This window comes from Homo sapiens, chromosome 1 (genome assembly GCF_000001405.40).
Source record: "Homo sapiens chromosome 1, GRCh38.p14 Primary Assembly".
In the NCBI taxonomy this organism is placed as follows: Eukaryota; Metazoa; Chordata; class Mammalia; order Primates; family Hominidae; genus Homo; species Homo sapiens.
The window spans coordinates 157,312,108-157,320,813 of NC_000001.11; positions in this window are offsets into that span (position 1 = coordinate 157,312,108).

Below are 8,706 nucleotides of genomic sequence, written 5' to 3' on the forward strand. Positions count from 1 at the left end.
GCAATGGGGATTAAACCTCATAAGCGCCCCACCCCTATGCCCACAGCTCTCCAGACTGAACTTCTTTGAGAAGTGCTTGGCTATGAACACTATTTGTAAGGAAGGAGAATGCAAAAGATGAACCTTCAGAGAGGAAACCAGCCCTGTGGCTAGAAGCCAGGAACTCTGGAGAGAGTCAGCAATGAACGTTCCATGCTGGCAAAACACCAGGGATGTTTAAAAATCCAGACCTCTAATCTCATTTTTGACATCCCAGCCATCCTGTGCAAAGGCATAAACATGTACATGGGCACAAACCCCAACCATGGGAATTTTGGTAAGTTAATTACACACAACTGCCTAATGCTGGTAATGTTTTGGTGAGTTAAAGGAAGGCAGCAGCAGAATGTGTGAGTCACCAAGTGCCAGATGGGAGATAAGTGGAGACTTCTGGGTAGTCTGATATGTTATTGTCCATGTGCCTTGCATTTGTGTTTGTGGATTGGAAGAAGCAAACACATCTTCCAGTTTTTACAGACTGTTTTTGGAAGACAAAGACCTTCTCCTCTTTGGTCTCCAGGCTTATAGGATTGCTTCTCAGTTCTAAGTTCAATGGGGTTGGAGACATGTTATGTGGCTTTAGCTGGGTCCAAATATGGTCCGTCGTTGGTGGAACTGTTATCAGCAGCTCAAGTGGCTGTAGATTCTGTCTGGTCCTTGAGTGCATTGGACTTTGTCTAAAATCTTGTTCATTAGGGCTACACTGTTTCAAGGTTCCACAGTTGGGCCTGCAGATGGTGGTTCTGTTTTCATGAGTGTGATGACAGTAGCTCTTTCTGAGTCCCTGGAGTGCTCCTACTGGATCACTGGATGGGTCCCTGGATTGACAAGACTGTCCTTGTACTGTTACTGAGAGTGGTGGAACTGAGTCACAGGGCTGCTTCAGGGTTCACAATTTGCAAGCAGGTCTCTGGAGGATTAGACGGGTATGCCTCCTACCATGTTCATGGTAGGGAAAGACTGCCCCTGGACCATGACTGAGCAGGGCTAAAGCAGGGCTGCTTCAGAATCTGCAATCAGTCCAAAGTTAGAAGATGTACCAACATGAGCACAGACAGACATATCTCCCAGTGGGCTCCTGGGTGGCTAGGAATACTCTCTGCCCACAACTGGGTGAGAATAAGTTGTGTTTCAGAATGAAATCAATAGTCACGGTGGAAATGAGGACAGAAGGGGCTGATGCCAAGTGCCTTGCTTCAGGGTTCTCTGTCAAGATCAAAGTCAACAGGCCTGTCGCCCAAGGCAGGGGTGGTTATGACTCCTCTCAGGTCCCTTGGCAGATTGTTCTGGTGGCAGGACCAAAGCCAAAGAGAGCTATATCCAGATTTACTGGGGCAAAGTGTTGTTTCCAGGTCTGTATCCAGGAACATGTACAGTGAGCCTGCTACCTGGTTGTGAAAACACCCTCTCAAAACAGCTCTCTTCAGTCTTGGGCTCTCCTAAGGTTTTGCTGCCTTTGACCTGGAGTCCAATACGCTCACAACTGTACTTTGGTCTGTGGAAGGCTCTCAAATTCTTGTTGCTGTGGGAGGATATGAGTGGGACATCCCCTACTCTATATTCTGCTCTCAAATTTTATTTTACAGAGAGACACTAAACTACCCAATCAAAAAGTTCAATGAACCCAAAGTAAGATTAATTCAAAAACATCCAAACCTAGACATATCAAAATGAGATGATCAAAAGCCAAAGTCAAACAGAGAATCTTCAAAGCTGAAATAGAAAAGTGAGGCTGCATATTCAAGGGATCCCCAATAACACTGACAGCTAATTCCAAGAATGCCAACGGGCACTGTAATGACATATGCAAAGTGTTCAGAAAAAATCTTACAACTAAGAATTTGCTGTCCTTCAAAACTATGCTTCACAAATCAAGGAGAAGTTAAGACATGCCCACAGAAACAAAAATGGAGACTTGTCACTAGCAGACTTGCGATATAACAAATGCAAAGGGAGTCATTCAATCTGAACTGAAAGACACTAGAAAGTCAATAAAAGCTATATGAACAAATAATGAGCACTAGTAAGGGTAATTAAATAGATAAATATAAACAGCAATATGAGTGTTTTTTATTTATAATAGCTTTTTCTCTTAACTCACCTCAAATAAACTTACCTAACATAAAAAATATAAGTGTGCTAAAGGGTACATGAGGTAAAAGATGTAATTTGGATAAGAATAACAGTACGAGGATAGGAGAACACAGCAATGTAGAATCAAAGTTTTTGTATATCATTGACATTAAATGAATATTAAACCAATAAGGAATCTATAAATAAAGGTAGTAATTATATTTCCCAGAAATAAAAAAAATATCATGAAGGGATACTAACAATAATTGTATGACAAAAATTAGATAAAGTTGTTAGTAGAAAAATTTCTAGAAATACATGAACTATGAAAACTGACTCAAGAAGAAATAAAAATTTAGATAAACCTGTAACAATTAAGAGAATGACTTAGTCATCAAAATACTCCCACAAAGTAAAAACAGAATGGCTTTACTGTGGTACTACACCAAATGTATAATTAAAAACGACCAATCCTTCACAAATTCTTGCAGAAAATAGAAAAGAAAGTGATATTTGCAACGCATTCTATCAAGCTAGAATTACACTGATACCACAACCACACAAAGATATCAAAAGTAAACAAAAGCCAATATCTCTTACATGCAAAAATTCTCAACAAAATACTAGCAAACTAAATCCACCAATATATAAAAAGGATTATACAACACAACCAAGTGGGATTTATCTCAAGCATACAGAATGGTTCAACATACAAAAATTAATCAACTTAATAGAAGATATGAGTAGATAAAAATTGGGAAATGGATGATCCCTTCAGCAGAGGCAAAAAAGTATTTGACAAAATCCAGCACCTTTTCATGAAGAAAAACCATGGACTAAGTAGGAATTGAGGAGAATTCCCTCAACCTAATAAAGGATATTTATGAAAAACATGCAACTTACATCATATGTAATAGTGAAAAATGAAAAGTTTCCCCCCTAAATCCAAAGACAATACAAGGGAATGTGCTTGTGACATTGACATTCAACATTGTATTGTGGGTTCTAACCATAACAATTAAGTAAGAAGACAATTGGGGGTCGCTTCCAAGATGGCTGTATAGGAACAGCTCCAGTCTGCAGCTCCCAGCGAGACTGACACAGAAGATGGGTGATTTCTTCATTTCCAACTGAGGTACCTGGTACATCTCACTGGGACTGGTTGGACAGTGGGTGCATCCCATGGAGGGTGAGCTGAAGCAGGGTGGGATATTGCCTCACCAGGGAAGTGCAAGGGGTTGGAGGATTTTCCTTTCCTAGCCAAGGGAAGCCATGAGAGATGGTACCTAGAGGAACTATACACTCCTGCTCAAATATTGTGCTTTTCCCACAGTCTTCACAACTGGCAGACCAGGAGATTCCCCCATGCCTGGCTTGGTGGGTCCCACATCCACGGACCCTTGTTTGCTGCTAGTGCAGTAGTCTGAGATTGACCTGGGATGCTGGAGCTTGGTGGGGGGAAGAGTGTCTGCCATTGCTGAGGCTTGAGCAGGTGGTTTTATGCTCACTGTGTAAACAAAGCCACAGGGAAGCTAAAACTGGGTGGAGCCCACCGCAGCTCAACAAGGCCTACTGCCTCTCTAGATTCCACCTCTGTGTGCAGGGCATATCTGAACAAAAGGCAGCAGAAAGCTTCTTCAGACTTAAACATCCCTGCCTGACAGCTCTGAAGAGAGCAGTGGTTCTCCCAGCATGACATTCAAGCTCCAATAACAGACAGGCTGCCTCCTCAAGTGGGTCCCTGACCCCCGTGTAGCCTGACTGGGAGGCACCTCCCAGTAGGGGCTGACAGACACCTCATGTAGGCAGGTGCCCCTCTGGGAAGAATTTTAAAGAAGAAGGATCAGGCAGCAATATTTGCTGTTTTGCAGCCTCTGCTGGTAATACCCAGGCAAACAGGGTCTGGAGAGGACCTCCAGCAAACTCCAACAGACCTGCAGCTGATGGGCCTGACTGTTAGAAGGAAAACTAACAAGCAGAAAGGAAAAGCATCAACATCAACAAAAAGGACATCCACACCAAAACCCCATCTGTAGGCCACCAACATCAAAGACCAAAAGGTAGATAAAACCACAAAGATGGGGAGAAACCAGAGCAGAAAGGCTGAAAATTCCAAAAACCAGAATGCCGCTTCTCCTCCAAAGGATCACAACTCCTCACCAGCAAGGGAACAAAACTGGAAGCAGAATGAGTTTGATGAGCTGACAGAAATAGGCTACAGAAGGTCGGTAATAACAAACTTTTCCGAGCTAAAAGAGCACATTCTAACCCATTGCAAGGAAGCTAAAAACCTTAAAAAAAGGTTAGATGAATGGCTAAATAGAATAATCAGTGTAGAGAAGAACTTAAATGACCTGATGGAGCTGAAAAGCACAGTACAAGAACCCCTTGAAGCATACGCAAGCTTCAATAGCTGATTTGATCAAACAGAAGAAATGATATCAGTGATTGAAGATCAAATTAATGAAATAAAGCATAAAGACAAGATTAGAGAAAAAAGAATGAAGAGAAACAAACAAAGCCTCCAAGAAATATGGGACTATGTGAAAAGACCAAATATACATTTGATTGGTGTACCTGAAAGTGATGGGGAGGATGGAACCAAGTTAGAAAACACTCTTCAGGATATGATCCAGGAGAGCTTCCCCAACCTAGCAAGGCAGGCAAACATTCAAATTCAGGAAATACAGAGAACACCACAAAGACCCTCCTTGAGAACAGCAGCCCCAAGGCACATAATTGTCAGATTTGTCAAGGTTGAAATGAAGGAGAAAATGTTAAGGGCAGCCAGAGAGAAAGGTTGGGTTACCCATGAAGGGAAGCGCATCAGACTAACAGCAGATCTCTCAGCAGAAACCCTAAAAGTCAGAAGACAGCAGGGGCCAATATTCAACATTCTTAAAGAGAAGAATTTTCAACCAAGAATTGTATATCCAGCCAAACTAAGTGTTATAAGTGAAGGAGAAATAAAATCCTTTATAGATGAGCAAATGCTGAGAGATTTTATCACCACCAGGCCTGCCTTACAAGAGCTCCTGAAGGAAGCAGTAAACATGGAAAGGAATAACTGGTACCAGCCACTGCAAAAACATGCCAAATTGTAAAGACCGTCGACACTATGAAGAAACTGCATCAATTAAGAGATGAAATAACCAGGTAGAATCATAATGACATGATCAATTTCACACATAACAATATTAACCTTAAATGTAAATGGGCTAAATAACCCAATTAAAAGATGCAGACTGGCAAACTGGATAAAGAGTCAAGACCCATTGTTGTGCTGTATTCAGGAGACCCATCTCACATGCAGAGACACACATAAATTCAAAATAAAGGGATGGGGGAAGATCTACCAAGCAAATGGAAAGCAAAAAAAAAAAAAAAAAGCAAGAGTTGCAATCCTAGTCTCTGATAAAACAGTCTTTAAACCAACAAAGATCAAAAGAGACAAAGAAGGGCATTACATAATGGTAAAATGATCAATTCAACAAGAAGAGTTAACTATCCTAAATATATATTATGTATGCACCCAATACAGGAGCACGCAGATTCATAAGCCAAGTTCTTAGAGACCTACAAAGAGACTTAGACTCCCACAAAATAATAGTGGGAGAATTTAACATCCCACTGTCAATACTAGACAGATCAATGAGACAGAAAATTAACAAGGATATGCAGGACTTGAACTCAGCTCTGCAGCAAGCGGACTTAATAGAAATCTACAGAACTCTCCACCCCAAATCAACAGAATATACATTCTTCTCAGCACCACATCACACTTATTCTAAAATTGATCACATAATTGGAAGTATAACACTCTGCAGAAAATGTAAAAGAACAGAAATCACAACAAACTGTCTCTCAAGCCACAAGGCAATCAAATTAGACCTCAGGATTAAGAAATTCACTCAAAACTGCACAGCTACATGAAAACTGAACAACCTGCTCCTGAATGACTATTGGGTAAATAACAAACTGAAGGCAGAAATAAAGATGTTCTTTGAAACCAATGAGAACAAAGACACAATGTACCAAATATCTGGGAAACATTTAAAGCAGTGTGTAGAGGCAAATTTATAGCACTAAATGCCCACAGGAGAAAGCAGGAAAGATCTAAAATCGTCACCCTAACATCAAAATTAAAAGAACTAGAGAAGCAAGAGCAAACACATTCAAAAGCTTGCAGAAGACAAGAAATAACTAAGATCAGAGCAGAACTGAAGGAGATAGAGACATGAAAAACCCTTGAAAGAAAATCAAGTAATCCAGGAGCCAGTTTTTTGAAAAGATCAACAAAACGGATACACCGCTAGCAAGACTAACAAAGAAGAAAAGAGAGAAGAATCAAATAGATGCAATAAAAAATGATAAAGGGAATATCACCACTAATCCAACAGAAATACAAACTACCATCAGAGAATACTATAAACATCTCTATGCAAATAAATTAGAAAATCTAGAAGAAATGGATAAATTCCTGGACGCACATACCCTCCCAAGACTAAACCAAGAAGAAGTTGAATCTCACAATAGACCAGTAACATGTTCTGAAATTGAGGCAAAAATTAATAGCCTACCAACCGAAAAAAGTCCAGGACCATATGGATTCATAGCTGAATTCTACCAGCAGTACAAAGAGGAGCTGGTACCATTTCTTCTGAAACTATTCCAATAAATAGAAAAAGAGGAAATCTTCTCTAACTCATTTTATGAGGCCAGGATCATCCTGATACCAAAGCCTAGCAGAGACATAACAAAAAAACAAAATTTTAGGCAAATAACCCTGATGAACATCGATGTGAAAATCCTCAATAAAATTCTGGCAAAATGAATCCAGCAGCACATCAAAAAGTGTATCCACCATGATCAAGTTGGCTTCATCCCTGGGATGAAAGGCTGGTTCAACTTATGCAAATCAATAAATGTAATCCATTACATAAACAGAACCAATGACAAAAACCACGATTATCTCAATAGATGCAAAAAAGGCCTTCAATAAAATTCAACAGCCCTTCATGATAAAAACTCTCAATAAACTAGGTATTGATAGAACACACATTATTGGGGAAACCAGCCCCTGATATTTCAACATAGGTTTTCTATTTTCCCTAAGTGTCAGTCGGTCTGAGAAATAAAGGGAAAGAGTACAAAAGAGAGAAATTTAAAAGCTGGGTGTCTGGGGGAGACATCACATATTGGCAGGTTCTGTGATGCCCCCTAAGCCACAAAACCAGCAAGTTTTTATTAGTGATTTTCAAAGGGGAGGGAGTGTACGAATAGGGTGTGGGTCACAGAGATCACATGCTTCACAAGGCAATAAAATATCACAAGGCAAATGGGGGCAGAGTGAGATCACAGGACAGGGGTGAAATTAAAATTGCTATTGAAGTTTCATGTCCCACTGGGCATGCACTGTCATTGATAACATCTTATCAGGAGACAGGGTTTGAGAGCAGATGACCGGTCTGACTAAAATTTACTCGTCAGGAATTTCCTCATCCTAATAGGCCTGGGAGCGCTACAAGAGACCAGTGCTTATTTCATTCCTTATCTGCAATAGTATAAGACAGACATTCCTAGAGCAGCCATTTTAGAGATCTCCCCCTAGGAACACATTCTCTTTCTCAGGGCTGTTCCTTGCTGAGAAAAAGAATTCAGCGATATTTCTCCTATTTGCTTTTCTAAGAAGAGAAATATGGCTCTGTTCCGCTTGGCTCCCAGGCAGTCAGACCTAATGGTTATCTCTCTTGTTCCCTGATCATCGCTGTTATCCTGTTCTTTTCTCAAGGTGCCCAGATTTCAAATTGTTTAAACACACATGCTTTATGAACAATTTGTGCAGTTAATGCAATCATCACAGGGTCCTGAGGTGACATACATCCTCAGCTTACAAAGATGATGGGATTAAGAGATTAAAGTAAAGATAGGCATATGAAATCACAAGAGTATTGATTAGGGAAGTGATACATGTCCATGAAATCTTCACAATTTATGTTCAGAGATTGCAGTAAAGACAGGTGTAAGAAATTATAAAAGTATTAATTTGGGGAACTAATAAATGTCCATGAAATCTTCACAATTTATGTTCTTCTGTCACGGCTTCAGCAGGTCCCTCCATTCAGGGGTCCCTGACTTCCTGCAACAATACATTAAAACAATAAGAGCTATTTATGACAAACCCACAGCCAATATCATACTGAATGGGCAAAAACTGGAAGCATTCTCTTTGAAAACTAGCACAAGACAAGGATGCCCTCTCTCACCACTCCTATTCAACATAGTATGGTAAGTTCTGGCCAGGGCAATCAGGCAAGAGGAAGAAATAAAGGGTATTCAATTAGGAAAAGAGGAAGTCAAATTGTCCCTGTTTGCAGATGACATGATTGTATATTTAAAAAACCCCATCATTTCAGCCCCAAATCTCCTTAAGCTGATAAGCAACTGCAACTTCAGCAAAGTCTCAGGATACAAAATCAATGTGCAAAAATCACAAGCATTGCTATACACCAATAACAGACAAACAGAGAGCCAGATCATGAGTGAACTCCCATTCACAATTGCTACAAAGAGAATAAAATACCTAGCAATCCA